An 18,228-nucleotide genomic window follows, 5' to 3' on the forward strand; every position below is an offset into this window, starting at 1 on the left:
GAGCCAAGATCGCGCCACTGCACTCCAGCCTGGGCGACAGAGCGAGACTCCTTCTCAAAAAACAAACAAACAAAAACAAATAGCAAGCATGAAGTTGTGTGCCTGAGTGAAGCCCTAGCAAAGGAATCAAAGAGCAAACTTTTACATGCAGGTCAGCAACTGTTGGTGTGCTCCACGGGGAATTTACCTTCAGGGCACACTCGGGCCCCCACTGTGCCACCATCACTGCCGACCTCCCTGCCCAGGGGAATCCGCTCCCAGGCGGATTCTCCCTCCTTATGCCACTTGTCCTTCCCACCTTCCATTTACTTATGTGTGTCAACACAAAGCTGTCCACTGACTCTCTCCTTTGTTCTGGAGATATCATTCTGGGAATAAAAAGGAGAGTGGATGGGCCATAAACAGTGTGTGGGATGGAAAGTATCAGACAATTTAGATGTCTGTGAGGCCAGGGGAAGCCTCCTCTTTGGGGGCAAGGACACTGGCTCAGTCCAGGCTGTGTCCAGCCTCAGGGCCAGCTGGGAGCACGTGTCATTTGCTCTTCATCCCACTCTGAATGGGCAGGGGTGTGAACGCTCGTACAACAGGCTTTCTCAGGCTATTTTCAATTGTGTGCAGCTGGTGTTTGAAAGAGCATTGCATTTAGGAATAGGGCTACTTTATGCTCTGGGGGTGAGGAAGGACGGAATGAGAAGGCTCTGGTTCCGGCCCATCCCAAACCACTGTGCAACACCGTGCCTCTGAGGTAGCCCAGAGTGGAAAGTGCCTGGGGTCCTGCATACCCACTGCTGCTAGTGGCTTATTAGCCATGAACATATTGCCGCCCGATTTCTGAGATAGCACTTGTCACATCCAGAGGAAGAAATAATTATCAGATGTGAGAGATATTGGTGGTGGCAGAAGGAAGAGAGGGGGCTGGGGGGAATCCCGAGGGTAAGTGTTGTCTGTGGGGCCCAGGCCCAGGCCTAGGTGAGCAGGCACTGAAATTCTCTAGGATAGAGGATGCAGCAATGCTAAAGGCAGCCATCACTGCATTAATTTTACAATGATTTTACATGCGTTTGCACCTGCACTCTGAGGGAGTTTCCAGGCTGGACGTGGTGGGATGTGCCTGTCTTCAAGGACCTGCCCTTCCACCAGGGGAGCCAAGATGAGCACTTACACTAAATTTGTATTTGCCACAGTGAACAGCTCCTATGCTCATGGATGGCACTGACTGTGATTTACCATTGGGGATGGTCCATCCTGAAGAGGGCCTTTCCTCTCCTTTGCAAAAGGATTTAAGAAGCAGAAAGAGACACATGATCCTCCCCAACCCATTGTCTCCTTGAGCCCCATGGCTGCTGATGCCGGGGCAGCAGGAATAGAGCTCCCAGGAGCTCTCCCACCCGGCGAGAGTCAGGCCCCAACCCACAAAGCACAGCCAAGGGAGTGCGCTTGCGATTCTAGTCTTTTTCTGAGCATCCTTTCTCTAGATTAGAGAAAATCCGTTTAAAGTAAATTAATGGTCAGATGACCTCTGTGAAACCTCTAAAATGATTTCTCATACCCATTAGGCTCAGCTCCTTATATTATATCAGGCAGACAGGAACTGTATTTTAAATCTCTAATAGCACCTAGTATCATATTCAGTGCAATAATTCTGATGAATAAATTTCTTTACCTTTCTTGGTGAAAATTATTCACCCTGAGGGCATCTGTTTGGGTCTTGAAAAAGGCATTAGATATTTTCTTTATATACTGTTTGCTACACGCACACACACACACACACACACACACAGGAGTTATGAAATCCAATATAACATGAACATCCATGAACTTACCACTCAAGTTGAGAAGCTATCTTTGTGTTCTTCCAAGATCCCATTCCTCCCTTCCATGAAACCGTGAATTTTGTGTATATTATGGCCATAATTGTCCACATGTGTATGTATCTCCAATTGCATTGTTTAGATTCTACAGTCACTGGCTTTGTTTAGGAGTGTGTACCACAGTGGTTACAAATAGTGGTTTTGGAATCAAACTGATTGTGTCGAAATCTCCGATGAAGCATTTACTAGTTGTGCAACCTTGAATGCATTACTTACCCGCTCTGAACATCAGTTTCTTCACTCCCAAATGGCGGTAATCCTGCCCAGCTCATCCTTCTCCTGGAGTTGCCCAGGAGATTGAATGGAATGAGACCTTGTCCATTTCTTCTTGGCCCATTATCGGCCCTCAACTAAGGTTGAGGGCAACCCTCTGCCCCAGACATCCCTGGGAACTCCTGTCAAACACATGCACCCTTCACCACTGGCACCTACTCCAAGCCACCAGGCCTTAAAACAGCAGCAAACTAGGAACCCTTGGGATGAGCAAGAGCGCCGGACTTAATTTATAGCCTTTCCTGTGTCCACACAGGAAGACAAATGTGCTGGGCAGAGGACAGCAGATGCCATTACCAGATCATTACTTAGCAAGTTGCTTGGTCTTGGCAGGAAATGGTTCATCATTTTCAGATGAGTAGAGAGCTGCAGAACCTTGTAACTGTCCTCCCTCATTCTGCACCCCTGTCGCAGACGCAATGGTCCTTGCCAAAGCTTTCCCTCCCACGGTGCCTTATCGAGATAAGTGACTGGGGATGTGGGATGCCACATGATCCACTGAATGCAAGAGCCCTGAACTCAGAAGGGGGCTGGGGTCAAAGGCTTCCAGGGCTGGAGAGTGAGGCCGGAAACCCCAAAAGATAAATGAGGACTTCTGGAACAAGATGAGAAGATGAATTAAACTGTTTACTTCGAGCATGCACATAATGTTCCAGAAAAATCCACTTTGGCTGCCAAAGTAGCCCTTCTGGAATTTATGAAGACCCTTGCCAGGGCCCTCACACTGGGGCTTAGTGCTCAGGTCTTGCATCTGTCTTTTTTTTTTTTTTTTTTGAGACGGAGTTTCGCTCTTATCACCCAGGCTGGAGTGCAATGGCGTGATCTCAGCTCACTGCAACCTCTGCCTCCCAGGTTCAAGCAATTCTCTTGCCTCAGCCTCCCGAATAGCTGGGACTACAGGTACCTGCCACCATGTCCTGCTAATTTTTGTATTTTCAGTAGAGACAGGGTCACCATGTTGACCAGACTAGTCTTGAACTCCTGACTTCAGGTGATCCCGCTGCCTCGGCTTCCCAAAATGTTAGGATTACAGGTGTGAGCCACTGCCCCCGGCCGCATGTGCTGTTTTACAGCAATCCAGTGGGGCAAGGTCACCAAGCTCACAAAGGAAGAACCTGAGGCTCAGGAAGCAAAAGTTATTGCCCAAATTAAACATAGTAAGAAGCTGATTTGATTCCAAACCAATATCTGTTTAATTTCAAAGCTCAGGCTGGCTCTATTTCACCATCCTGTGTCCCTCAGCAGGGTGACAGGTCACCATGAACAGGACAGCCACTGGCCAGCAGTGTCTCAATCACTGATTGTCCACTGTGCTTAAGCACCCACAGGGCTCTTGGTGCTGAATAGATGGTGGATTTTTGGCTTTTTTGTCTGTCCCAAATCTTTAGAAGCCTGTTGTCTGTGGTGACAGTGATTTCAGATTGGCTAAGTTTGACAAGCAATGAGCAACAATACATCTGTTGTTAGAGGTGTTGGTTATTCCACGTGCCAGGAAGACAGAGAGAACGTCTCAACCAAATTGTCAAGGCAAGAGTCTTTCAGGAAAAGGATATGGCTAAGAATTCTAAAAGGGGTGGGGGTTGGTTTAACAAGAAGGAGCAGGGAAAGGTGTCTACCTTGAATCTCCAATCTGAAAGGTTGGTATAGGCATAAGATGTCAAGAAAATTAGCAGAAAACATCGTGTTGAGCCCTCAAGATTTGCTTGGAGCGGAGGAGACCACACTCCTGCAGCTGGGTGGTCAGGTAACTGGGTTTCTGACCTTACAGGAGCAGCCGTGTGACTGCACACCTGGCTGGGGCTTGAGGCTGGGGGTTGGGGAGACATGGTGACCCAGCGATCTACTCAGTTCAGCTGCTGTTTCCCCAACAGGAACCCTAGGGTTGCAGGGAGGGGCTGTTGGTTTTGTCAGTCCATTGTGCTTGGGGTGAGGAAAATATTTAGGATATATTTTAAGTAATCTTAAATTAAAAATTAAAATTATTGTCATGAAACTGTATGTGATTCTTATTTTTGGATAGAATTAAGAACTATTCAGCCGGGTGTGGTGGCTCACGCCTGTAATCCCAGCACTTTGGAAGGCGGAGGTGGGCAGATTACTTGAGCTCAAGAGTTTGAGACCAGCCTGGCCAACATGGTGAAACCCCGTCTCTACTAAAAATACAAAAATTAGCTGGGCGTGGTGGCATGCACCTGTAATCCCAGCTACTCGGGAGGCTGAGGCATGAGACAAGAATCGCTTGAAACTGAGAGGCGGAGGTTGCTGTCAGCCGAGGTTGCTCTACAGCACTCCAGCCTGGGTGACAGAGACAGTCTCAAAAAAAAAAAAAAAAAAAGAACTAATTTATTAGTATCTGTGGAGAGTAGATATAAGCATTTGTCCACAATTTTTTTATTGTTTCACTTATATCCTCCCATCCCTGCTTTAGTTCTCCCTTCCTCCCACTGGATTAGTTAAAAGACAATCCAGATTTTTATACCATTTGAGTCATAAATGCTTAACTATGTGTCTCTAAGTGAAAGAGACTAAAAAAAATAAACATTTTACATTATCAAACTAGAAATATGAAAAATAATTCCTAAATATCATCTAATATTTGGTCAATACTTAAATTTTCCTGATTCTCTTCAGGTGATTAAAAAAGGAAATAAACAAGTGTACACCTTATATTTGGTGTGTATGAACATATCTACCTATCTCAACCAACAGTTCTCCTTTCTTCTTTTTTCTCCTTGTTATTTATATGTTGAAGAAACTCAGTCATTTGCCCTGCAGAATTTTCTACACTGTGGATTTGCCTGACTACACCCTGTGGTGCTGTTCCTCTATCTTGTTCTGGGTAAGTTAATAATTAGATCTAGAGGCTTGATCAGATTTGGATGTTTTTGCAAAACTATTTCCCACTTATTGCTGTGTTCTTCCTGCTGCAGCTCACAGGGGCACTGGGAGGCTGAGGTCTCTCCTTTGGGATGTGTAAATTCATCAGTGGGATTAGGTTATGTCAGCCTCCTCCATCCTGCAAGAAATTTCTCACCAGCTGTCCCCTAAGGATTTGGCAGCTAATCATGGTCTTTGCCAGATTCATTATTTTATTAGGGTTATGAAATGCTGATATCCTCACACAATAATTATTTCTGCATTTGTTAGCTGAAATAATTCTATGAATAAGAACTTTTGGTCATCAACTAATTAGTTACCCCTGGAAATAGTTTGTACAAGAAAGTCCAGATAAATGCTCTATTCTTTCCATTTATATATCAGTTTTCAGAATAACAATTTGGTGTTCTAGCAATCTCCAGTGTGACCAATGCTATTATTATGAACTCATGGATTTTAACTTCTTTGATATAGTTTGACTGGTTGCAATCATTGTTCTTTTTGATGCTTAAATTGTGCCATCCTCGGCCAGTGAGAATCCGTTTGGACTGGCCTCTCTGTCTTTTTGACATTTCCCTGATAGTCTTAGTTAGCTTTCTTGCATCTCCTACAATTTCCGATAAGACCTGGAATCAGACCTTTTTCCCCCAGTGGATTCCTAGGACAAATATTTATAAACTAAAGTCTGGATACTACTTGGTTTTCATTGCTTCTGGGTATTTTCTTTTTTTTGAAATCAAGGAAATAATATTTTTACTGGACTAGAAAATATGTATTTATTTTATTTAAAAATAAAAGTACATCATGAGTTTTTACTTGCATTTCTGTTTTTTTTTTTTTTTTTTTTTTTGAGCCAGCGTTTCACTTCTATCACTCAGGCTGGAGTGCAGTGGTGCTATCTGGGCTCTGCAACCCTCTCTCCCACCTTCCTGCCCAAGTGATCCTCCAGCCTCAGCATGCCTCCCCCTCAATAGCTGGGGACTACAGATGTGTGCCACACTCCTGGCTAATTTTTGTGTTTTTTAGTAGAGATGGGGTTTCACCATGTTGCCCAGGCTGGTCTTGAACTCCTGAGTTCCAGCAATCTGCCCACCTTGGCCTCCCAAAGTGCTGGGATTACAGGTGTGAGCCACTGCATCCAGCCCTTTACTTGTATTTCTAAGTCACATTTAAAATTACAGGGATCTTAACTTCTTTGACTTAATGTTAATTTTCTTTACTTTTACACTAAAAGTTCTTGATTCCTAATAACATTGTGGTGATGTGTGTGTGTGTGTGTGTGTGTTTGTGTTTGTGTAGGTTCAAATAACAATGTCAACAGCACCACTTGTTATTAATAAAAAATAAGGCTACAGAATACTATTTGAAATTTCTCTGTATTCTTTTTGTCCTTAAGATATATTCCTGTAGGGATGAACAGTTCCATATCTGTGTCTTAAACTTATTTAAAGTAATTTTTCTCTTTACTTCCCTCTTATCCGGTCCAATGTCATTAAACACCAACCTAATATATAGTTAGGTTCATTTATTTTCTTTTGATTTGTAATCATTTTTTCCCATTTTGGTTGAATTTTATTTTGTAACGATGTAACACGTCCAAAAGGTTCCAAAGTCAGAACTCTAAAGCAGGTGCCCTCTGAGCAATCGAGCTCTGTTCCTGTTTCCTGCTTCTTATTTTCTCCTTCTCTCACAGGTAACCATTTTTTAAAAATTGAGTTTTGTTTTCTTCATTTCATTTTAAAAACAAAACAGGCACTCACATATTTATACTGACTTCTGTCTTAGACAAAAGATATCACGCTACACTTGCTATTCGGCGCCTTGCCTTTTGTCTTTAATATATGCAGACTTTTCTTGCTTCTTTTCATAGCAGCACAGTCCTCGATTGTGTGGGTGTATCACAGTTTATTCACATTGTCCCCCGTGATGGACACTGGGTCCCCCATGATGGACACTGGGGTTATTTCCGTCTTTTTCTATTACAAATAGTGTTGTAGTAGGCAGCTCTGTGCCTGTATTGTTTGCATTTTTTGGTAACAAGTTGAATGAGCTTAGAAATCATCTTAGTTATAATCTTCCAGGGGTTAGGTAAGTAGAATTATTCACTTAACATATAGGTATTTATTGATGTTTATTATGTGACAAAACCTGTGCTAGTTTTGGTGAAAGAGGGCTGGACAGAGTGATGAACAACACAGGCATGGCCCTGCCCTTGTGGGGCTTACAACACAGTAGGGAAAGTGTGTGAGTAATGGTAGAAATAAATGTTTAATTACATGTGTGATGAACAACATGGGGGGAATGAAAAGAGTGAGCTAAGAAGGCTGAGATGGTGGTGAGTGGCCAGAGAAAGCCTCCAGAAGGAATGGCCATTAGGTGGGTGTCTGGAGGAAGAGGAAGAACAGACCAGGCAGAGATGCAAAGCAAAGCCTGCCGGGCCAAGCCAGCACAATGGGAAAAGTTCACAGGCAGGAGAAGGCTGATGTTTCAAGCAGGAAAGGGCAGTGGGTCTACCTCATGAGCAAGGAGAAGGGTGGCAAGGGATATGGTGTGAGGGTGTGCAGTGCAGGTGGCAAGGATCTGGGGGGACTGGGAATCCATCCTAAGTTACAGGAAGCCACCAGAGAGTTTACACTAGTGGTGTGATCCAGTTCATTCTGTAAAATGCCATTCTGACTTCCGTGTCCAGAGGCACTGGGGAGGGATGGGAGCAGAGGCACAAAGACCAGGAGGGGATGGTTGTGGGAGTCCAGGAAACTGATGATGACAGCTTGGCTTAGGGTAGTGGGGTCGGGGTGGAGAAGAGGGAATGGGTTGAGCTCTTTTAGAGGAAGGGTAGATCAGAATTATTGGATGGAACTATTGGATTGAATGAGAGGGAAGGAGGTGTCCACAATAACTCCTTGGTCTTGGGCACAGGAACTGGCTTATGGAGCTGGATGACTTTGAAAGAGGACTGGGTTAGCGTGGGGTGGGAGGGGCCATAAATTTGGGACATTTTAATTTGAGATCTGTGAGAAATCCAAATGGAGACACAGGGAAAGTCTCTGAGTACGTCTGTTGGGACCTCTGAAGGTGTCATGTGGAGGTTGCACGCATTGGGGATGGGAGGAGACTGCCCAGGGGCAGGGCAGTGAGTGAGAAAAGAGGCTCCAGGGCTTGATCCAAGAAATTCCAACATTGAGGAGCTTGGAGAAAATGAGGCGCTGGTTGAGAAGATTGGATTATTTTAAGCAACAGTGGGAGTGAAAATTATTTTTTCTTAATAATTTACATATACAACATTATAGAACAACAGCGATTCTGGAGATATGTAGTCTGACTCCCCCATTTAATTGAAAAGGAGTTGGAGAATTCTGAAGTTACTGTCTGTTGCTTGCCAGCTAGCACAGCCTGCCCTGTACAGATAGTTTGACTCCAGGAAGAACACTGACCTCAATTAGCTTGCAAATGCAGAAAAAAAAAAAAAAAGAAAAGTTAAAACCACACAGTGGCTCCCCTGGAGCGTCATCATACCCTTCTCCTGGGGTATAGCTCTCTGGGTATCCTTGTAGGGGCTCACTGGCCTGGGACTGGCAGCTGGGCATGGCCATCATTCATGCCGTTTGTTATATTTTCTTCTTTTCCCTCCCTCTCGGTGCATGGCAGGACTGCTCTTCTCAGTCCCCTCGTGGTTGGGTATAGCTATGTGGCTATTTCTGGAGAATAAGTTATGGGTCGAAATGATGCTTCACCTCCAGACCAGAGCTTTTAATTGCCAGGGTGGGATTCTCTACAGTGTTTTGCCTTCTGGCACAGTGACTGAAATCTCGTAGATATTGATGGCCCCATCAGGCTGGATTCAGTGAGGAACAGAGCCCCTCTGATAGCCTGAAATGAACACGCAGCATGAGCAAGATAGAAATCTTTGTTGTCTTAAGCCACTGACATTTAGAGGTTGTTTGTTACTACAGCATAACTTAGTCTATGCTGACTGACACCCTGGATGTTCTACTGCCTGCTTTTCAGAGACTAAATGGACAATCTGTGTATTTAGTTCTTCAAGGACAAATAGATACTCTCATTTTCCCTGATTCCAGACTTTGTATAGTTTGCCAAATTAGGTTTTAACGTTGGAGATGCTGACACCCAAAGTCTTAACCAGAGGAGCTGAGGTTGCTTCTTCCAGACTTTTATTCTCAAATGAATTTCATGCACTAAGGAGGGAGTATTGGGATACATCATGTTGGGCATTTCTGCCAGTAACATGGAGACCAGGAGACAGACCTTCCTGAAGGAGGTGGTCTGAGGGAGATGGTTCAAAGAGTAAACAAACAAACAAGGAAGCAAACAACCACAAGCATTTGCCATCAGGAATAGATGGGGAGAGAGGAAGTGATCAAGCCCCAAGGGGACATTCCCGAAATGATGGTGAAATTTCCATGAGGTCCATGTAACTGTTTCTTGTTACTTCATGCCTTTTTCCCCGAAAGGAACTAGAAAAACAACAACTTCCTCCTCATCCAGTAAGAGAAAGAACAGATCTAACAAAAGCGAAAGGAAGCAACTCATCTCAAATTGGAGACACATAAAAAGAGGACTGCAGGGGCTTTCTCATACAGAGGGGTGCCCGGAACTTCACTACTAGGACTGTGAGGAATCAGGAGTTTAGGCAGCCTGCCCATGTCTGGCCTCTGTGATTTCTAAGAGAAAACCCAGAAGAAAATTGTGTAATTTGCCAAAATAGGTTTTAATAGATTTTAATGTTGGAGAGGAATGCTTATACCCAAAGTCTTAACTAGAGGAGCTGAGGTGGCTTGAAGGATGCCCTTCTCCCACACACCCCCTTCCCCAGTCCCTTCTTAGCCCTGTCAGGAGCTTTAAGTATGTCTGCCAGCCCGCAAATCCTTTGCTGTTTCTATGGGGAGCTCAGCCGCTAAGCACACTTAATGGATTCAGTTTTGGAGTGGCCAGGATTTTGCTGTGTGGCCAGATATCTATAAAGAAATGCATCTCCCAAGAGAGTGACAGATGTTCCATCTTTGTTATATATGAGTTTGTGAGAATAAAGCCTTAATGAGGGTGATTCTTAACTGCTTGGACTCTGGGAGGCAGCTTAGCTTTTTCACACAAGCGGTTGAAATCTTTCTTAAATATTGAGATATCACACATCTTTCCTGCCATGGTCACTGGGTCTTCTTTATGCCAACAGGCAGGGTTCCCAGGGAGGGAGAGCTGGGCAAGGGCTCCCCAAAACTTTGCTTCTCTTAGAGGTATAACCACAGACAATTGATGGGCAGAGTTCACCATCATCACCTGATCTCTTCCTGTAGTTTCCAGGACACACTTCCTGGTTCCTTCCTCTTAGCCACTGGTGGGGCTTACCTTATAAATGGCCAATAACAGAAAATGCATATAACATTTGGGATAAGACAGGAATGGGTCTCAGTTCTCCACTCAATTTTCCCTGTCCTGCATACCCAGCAGGTTGTGAGGCCAACAGAGACACCGGAGGTGGGAACACCATGTACAGTGGGAACCCATGTTCCTTTGTCGTTACTGCTGTTGGTGGTGGCTGCAGTTTAGCTAGGAGAGCTAAAAGGCAGAACAACTAAGAGAGTGGAAAGAGCCATCCCCAAACCTCACAGTTACATAATTACAGTTATATAATAGGTGCAGAGGAGAGCTGTGCCATTCCCCTGCCTGCTCCCTCTGCCTCCCATAGTCCCACTTTTGTTAATCCATCCTGAGACACCAACCCCCAGCCCATGACACAGTGGGGCAAAAGGTGGCATGAAGGCTGTGCTGTCTCAGATTTCAGAGCCCCTTCAAAATGTGTTGATGAATGATAATCAGGATTGAATTCCGTGGTTGTCAGTTACAAGCTGTGTGGCCTCTGCTAAGTGAGTAAACCTTTTTGAGCTGTTTTCCCCTCTATCATATAAGATGGGGTTGATAATCATAGCACTTATCTCTATAGAGTGGCCATAATAGTTAAATGGAATAATGCATACAGGGTCCCTAGCCTGCTGCTTTGCATATAGCAATATATGCTTATTATTTTTGTTTTGAAAAAGAGAAAGCGAGAGAAGAAAAGATGGGTGTTTTAGTCCATTCTGGCTGCTATGACAAAATACCACAGACTGTGTGGCTTATAAACAGTAGACATTTATTTCTTACAGTTGTGGAGGCCGAGAAGTCTGATGTGATATTTAGTGAGGGCCCATTCCCTGGGGCTTAGGTGGTGCCTTCTGGCTGTGCCCTCACATGGAGCAAGGGGCCGGCAGCTCTCAGGGGTCCCAATCAGGACCCACACTCAGGACCTAGTCACATCCCAAAGGCCCCACTGCTAACACCATCACATTAGCTTCCAGCATGTGAATTTTTGGAGAGCACGAACATTCAGACTACAGCAGTGGGAGTGGCACATGATGTGATGGGTAGATTTTGTTCCTCATGAACCTTAAAAAGGTCCACCGAATGCATCTGACTCTCTAATCACAGAAACTGGTGGTCCAAGGGGGACGTCACTGTCTTTAGGATCTATGACCCAGCTCCATCTAAGTAGTGACTGCTTTGAAGAAGAACTTCTGCTGAGAGCTGTATTTATCAGCCCCTCAGACAGTCCTTGGACGGTGCAGGTTTTGGGGGGGCTTTTGACCTCCCTGAGGGGAGGAAGTGGGTATTGGACCAGGACAATCCTCCCTGTGTGTCTGCTGGCAGATGCCAGGCTTGCATATACTTTTTTCCTTTTTCAAATATGAGCAAACATTAAAAAGAAGTTCCCATGATATAGCTCTGCAGTTCAGAGAAAATAACATGTTATCTGGAGGATGGAGGACTTAGAGAAAGAGCAGATCTCTAAAACCTTTTTCTGCAGGAAACAGAAGAATGTTTTGTAAAACATCTGCCTGGTGTCCTCAAAAAGGCAAGAAGACTGGAATTCTATGAAATGGGAGCAAAATGCCACAGAAAAAACATACGGATTCTAGGGAGGGTGGAGCCAAACGCGAACCCCTATGACAGAGTTCAGGGCTCTCCCTGCCGTGCTCACCGTTGCCTTTGTGGGAGAGCTGTCTATAGGAACCACATGCAGGGGCAGGGGTGAGCTGCTCCTACAAGGCCACCTGGTCACAGAGCCATGACAGGCACTGCCCCAGAAACACAGGACATAAACCACTCAGCACCGAGCTGGAACCTCCTGTCACCTCTACCTCTAGTTCTAAATTTATCCCCACCTCCCCCACACTCCTGGAAACTCACCTGGAAAACGGAATGCCTAGGAATTTCAACTTCTCCATTCTTTGATCCTAGCTTGAGAAAGTCTAACCAGAAGCCAGCAGCCTCTGACAGACCTCTCCCAATGCTGCCTGGACCTCCCTTTATAAGGATAAACAGGCCAAAATATATATATATATATATATATATATAAATAAAAAATAAAAAAAATCACCCTGCACCTGACATGTTCCTCGAGGAAGCAGGTTGACTCCAAGAGAAAGGGGAAATCATTTGAAAATCTGGACTTGGATTCTCAATAAAATGTAAGATGTAAGTTTATGAAAGAGAACGATCTTTGACAAGCGTTCCATGGACTTAAAATGAAAAACACAGTTGCCAAAAATAAAAATGGCACAAAAGGCACAATCAGCAGATTGGGTGGTGCAGAAACTTGCCTGAGCAAAAGATTGGCTGGTCATTGCCATGTGGCTATTAAAGCACAGCATAGAAGTCCTCCCACAGGAAAAGAAGAATTATAGATACACACAGAGGATGTACACGAAGATGAGACGCCAAGGTTCGATACAGAGAAGTGCAGATACTCCCAGGGAAGATCACAGAAGGGGGCACACAGACGGCTGCGGCAATGCACAAAGCTACAGAACCGCAGACGTGGGTCCTGCACAATGTTCGAGAGTTTCTCAAATGGAACAAAACCGGAAACAAATGGCAAAAGGGTAAGCAGGCACACCTTGAAAACCCCAGAATACTTAAAAAAAAAAAAAAACAAACAAACTCCTGATATCACACAGAAAATCAGCACTGCACTTACAGACTATTTAGAGAATAATAACCAAAATTTAAGAGTATGTGGCTGAAACTTAAGGAACATATTTATTTTATTGAAACTCTTCCAGAAACTGTTGCAGAAAGGAATAAAGTTTCCTAATCTCCTTAACAGAGATGGCCTAAACCTGATAAAAACATAATAAAAATAACATTTAAAACATAAAACTATAGCACAATCTCCAGGATGAGTGCATTCAGTGTTATAAAGATGTCAGCTCTTTCTACTGATATGCAAACTTAGTATAACTCTAGTCAATAGCCTAACTTAATTTCTTTTCAGAACTTAGCCAAGGGGTTCTAAGTTTATCAGGAAGTGAAACATGCAAGGAAAGCCAAGAAAATTCTGGAAAAGACAGCAATTGTCTGGTAATTGCTGTAGCTATTAAAGAGTATCACCATGTTTCAGTGATCAGAATAGCCTTGAGTCAACCCCAGGGGAGACTGATCAATGGGGAGAGGCAGAGCAGAAACATGCATCCAGAAACAGATGCATATATGCAGGAAGATTCCTAAAATTAATAAAAATGGTGTTTAAGTCAGCATAGCCAGGGTTTATTACTCAGTATGACACATTAGCCCAGCTCGTTACTTATTTGGCAAAACACTGGCAACAAAAATTACAACAGTAATAAGTATAAATCTTTATCAGATTAATTATATGTAAAAAAAGCCATGAAAACATTACAAGGAATTGCAGGATAATAATTTTGTAATTTTAGGCTGGGGTAGGCTTCTCAAACCAAGATTTTAGAATCAGAAACCTTAAGGGAAAATGCGATAGAATTGACTCAAATTAATGAAAAAACTCTTCGGAATGGAAAATATTATAATAAAAATTTCAAATAAAGCTGAATTGGGAAAAATAAGACAGAAGATTAATATTATCAACATGCACAGAGCTTTGCAAACCAATATGAAAACTACCAACACTCTAATTGTGGTGGGTGCTGTGGTCCATACCTACATCCCTCCTTCAGGACTGAATTCCTATTCCCCAGCTGCCAAGAAGTTGGCAGCTAAAGGCTCACAGTGAGTCCTTTCCCAGGAATTGCCCTCTGCTGAAGAAAGCTGCCTCCTACAGGGTTGAAGACCCCCCTAAGTGGTAGTTTGCCTCCAGTGTGACCCACCTGTGCAAGGCTGTCCTAGCTCCAGGGCACCCCTGTTGTGGGCTCTGTGCCTCTGCCTCCACCCTGCCTCTACCCTGCCTCTGTCCTGCTGCCCTCCCTTCCTCCAGGCATTGCTCTGAGAGCCCCAGACATCCTGCATGCACATCTCTGTTTCAGAATCTCTTTCCTAGGCAACCTGACCTAAGAAACCAACTAGATAAAAATGGACAAGCGACATAAGCACAGATCACATACACAAAAAGGAAAAAAAAATCCTAAACAAGATGGTAAATTAGCATTGAACATGTGGAACAATGCCCAGGTGGAGTGAAGCAACATGAGAAGCAGGGCTGTTTGAGAAGGTAATGAACACAGCATTTCTGTATGGAAATTGAGGAGTATGTGTGAAAATCTAGAAGGTTTTTCTTGGGAAATCTCTTATGAATTTATCCTAAGAAGATAACTGTACAAACAGATGTATTAGCCAGGATTCTCCAGAAAAACAGAAGTGTGTGTGTGTGTGTGTGTGTGTGTGTGTGTGTGTATGTGTGTGTATAAAGAGTTTTTTATTTTGAGACAGGGTTTCACTCTGTTGCCCAGGCTGGAGTGCAGTGGCATGATCATAGCTCACTGCAGCTTTGAACTCCTGAGCTCAAGCTCTTCCTCCCTTAGCCTCCCAAGTAGCTGGGAGTACAGGCCTGCATGACCATGTCCAGCTAATTAAACTTTTTTTTTTTTTTTGGTAGAGATGAGATTTTGCTATGTTGCCCAGGCTGGTCTTGAACTCCTGGCCTCAAGCATTCTTCCCTCTTTAGCCACCCAAAGTGCTGGGATTATAGGTGTTAGCAACTGTGCACAGCTTTATATAAAGAGATTTATTATAAGGAATGGGCTTACATCATATGGAGGCTGAAAAGTCCCTAGATATGCAGTTGGCAAGCTGGAGAGCCAGCAGGAGAGCCCTCGGTGTAGTTCCAGAGTCTGAGTCTGAAGGCAGGAAAAGACCGAGGTCCCAGCTCAAGGCAGTCAGATAAGAGGCGTTTCTTATTTCAGCCTTTGTGTTCTATTCAGGATTTCAATGGATTGAATGAGACCCAGCCACGCCGGAGAGGGCAATCTGCGTTACTCACTTTACCAACTTGGATGTGAATCTCACGGAGAGGCTCCCCCACAGACATACCCAGAATACTATTTGACCAAATGTCTGGATATCCTGTGGCTCAGTCAAGTTGTTACATAAAATTAACCATCCCTACTGGTATGCACAGAAACATTAGTTGGAGCACGGCAGTTTGTGTTCATTCACAGCACCCTGGGTACATAAATAAATCCACAGCCAAGCAAAGGATTGCGCCGAGGCTGTAGCAAAGCAAGCAGGAGGGCGCGGCCCAGGAGATGTGAGCTCCCATACTGCTCGCAGCACTGGGACCCAGCATCCCCCTCAGCAATAGCCCAGAATACACAGGGCATCAAGAGCCCTGCCCTGCAAAGGGAGGGCAAACCTCCCATTCCTGGTGCTTTAAGTGGACCCAATCCCTGGCTGGAACTTGAAGGCAGGCCACAGAAACAGACTATTTCCGCCCTTTACTACTCGTACTTGTCTCAGCCCATCTGCTCACACCTTATCCTTCGGGTTCCTAACCCCACTATCTGTACCCAGGTCTTATATTAGCATTTTCCCCCTGGCCACTCAACTTAATGCATGTTTAGATTCACTTTTGGGGCTTCATGAAGTTCCGACTTTCTTTGGGCACTGGACACTGCATCGTGGAATCCCTACATTCTTTGCAAAAACTTCCTTACTCCAACCCACGTCGCAAGGACCTCCCACTCATGACTATGCAGAGTTGGGGATTTGGCCTAACCCAGCAGGCTGGCTTCTCCTGCAGATGCGCCAGGCATCCCGTCACATAATCAGCATGCCTGCTTCTGGAGAGGGACCACTCATTGTGTTGGGCTCCCTTGCGAGCTCAGCACTGAGATGGTCCTAGGAGTTTCTATCCCCACATTGCACCTGGAAATCTCATGGTCCTTGACAGCCACAGGTTTCCAGTGGCAGCTCATGAGGCCTCCAGATAGGTGGCAGGGACCGAAATACTTCACAGCTTTTCCACGGACAAAGATCAGCAATTTGTTTTTAAAATAAAAAGTCAATGTTAAAGTGAAGTTGGCATCAGGTAATTGAGATGCTATCAGGATCCTGAGTGGGGACTGAACACATGCAACCACACAGTGTAGTATTTTTAGGCAATTGCTCACTCATTTGAGAAAACACAGTGGGTAAAACTGTTTCCCTTGTGGTGACTGTTGGACTTCCTGCATTTTCAGAGGTTTTCTGTATTTTCATAGGAGTCCCATTTCCTTTTAAGAACCAGATTGCCAATGCCCCATTAGTTAGCTTTCCACTCCAACAGGCCGCTTGCTCTTTTGCCTTTCCCTCCCCTTCTCTTTTAAACCAATTAATTAAAAAGCTTTACAAAAACAATACATGCTAACGTGAAAAATTAAAGCAGTATAGAAAACTACAACACAAAAAGGAAAAGCTCCTCTGCCCTCAGCTCCTACACTCCTCAGAGGTGGCCATCATGAACATTGGCTTCTTTCTAGAACTTTTCCTGCATAGACAATCAGAGAAACATAGATTGATAGACTGATTTATGCAAAGATGGCTGAATAATGATGTTTAATGCTCTGTTACTTGCTTTTTCCTACTTAATTTATGCTAGACATGATTTCACAGCAGTTGTCAAGGAGGTCTATCACCCTTTTCAACATTTGCATTTTTTCAATTATAAATAAAAAATTAATTAATTAAGAAACACTTGCATTTGGTTCTACTGTAGAAGTGTACCATCATTTGTTTAACCAATATTCCACAGATTGACTTGTAGATTACTTCAGAGGTCTTAATATTAAATGTTCCAGTAAATATCCTCAGGCATGTGTTTTTGAAGAACAGGGCTAGTGTATCAACAGGAGATTGTTTTATAGGTCTTTATAAAATTAAACTGTTTTCACTGGTATAAAAATTTAATAATTGTCAAATAAAATGTTGCTCTTTTAAAGTTTCTTCTCATTATCAAATGACGCTTTTTTTTTTGTCTTGGTCTTCTATAAACCTGCCCTTAAGCTGTGACAAAATTAATTTAAAAAAATCGATGTTGGTCCATGGGATCCATAAATTCTTTTTATAGATCGTTTAACAGAATTCTGTGTCGTGGGCGAGGCTCCAGGCTGGTGTGCAGCGGTGCGCTCCTGGGTCTGTGAGTGGGCATTCCTCAGAATCCCCACAGCCTGACCTGCTGCCCTTTGCTGGTTTCACTTGAAGCTATTATTCCAATTGACTCACTCTTGGCTGACATCTGGATGCGTTTTATAACAGACTGTTTTCATAACTCCACAAAAAGGTTCTCAGGATTAATACTTGTTTATTTTCATTTTCCATTGGACCTTAAATTAGCTAGCAGCCAATACTGGCACAACCCCTTACTGGAAGCCATTTTACCTAAGTGGAGGGGATGGCAAATCCATCCAACCTTGGGTTTTCTGTTGCTTTAAAACCTCTTGCCAACCAACTATTCCAGAGTGGCTGTCAAATCAACCAATAGCAAAATATTTGGGAGTATTTGTCAGTTAGCTGGGGTAGAAGCAGCCAGATGTGTGGATAGGTCATACAGTTACCTTCCCCGTGTAAGTTGGGGCCAGGGTAACCCATGGACATGTGTGCATGTACAACACAGGTGCATGTACAGCCAAGCATACAGGTGCCAAGATATTTTATTGGGATATTATGTGTTTTCTTCTCTCTGTTGTAGGTATTTTTTTTTCCTCTCCCACCTGAAAATTTTTTCTTTGCTTTTTGAGATTGTACTTTCAAAGACATTCAAGACACCCAGATTTTAAATTCAGGGTGTTAATCCAGGGTTTTGTTTTTGAAGACCTGGGATCATTGAAGGGATTAAGTTAGATTTTCCTAGAGGAAAGAGGCAAGTGACTGCCTTTGAATTTAAGGATTGTCTGTATACGTGTGTGTGTGTCTGTGTGGTGGAGGA

General features: G+C 43.9%; 1 long non-coding RNA gene across 2 annotated transcripts in view; it reads left to right on the top strand.

Annotated features, from left to right (window-relative positions):
- Positions 1 to 18,228, top strand: part of LOC105378275 (uncharacterized) — a 39,799-nt gene that overhangs the window by 12,944 nt on the left and 8,627 nt on the right. For both annotated transcript variants that reach the window (XR_945906.4, XR_945907.2), the window contains exon 2: positions 4,897 to 4,983. This is a non-coding gene — a long non-coding RNA (uncharacterized LOC105378275). The remainder of the gene's footprint in view (positions 1 to 4,896; positions 4,984 to 18,228) is intronic.

Source organism: Homo sapiens, chromosome 10 (genome assembly GCF_000001405.40).
Source record: "Homo sapiens chromosome 10, GRCh38.p14 Primary Assembly".
NCBI lineage: Eukaryota > Metazoa > Chordata > Mammalia > Primates > Hominidae > Homo > Homo sapiens.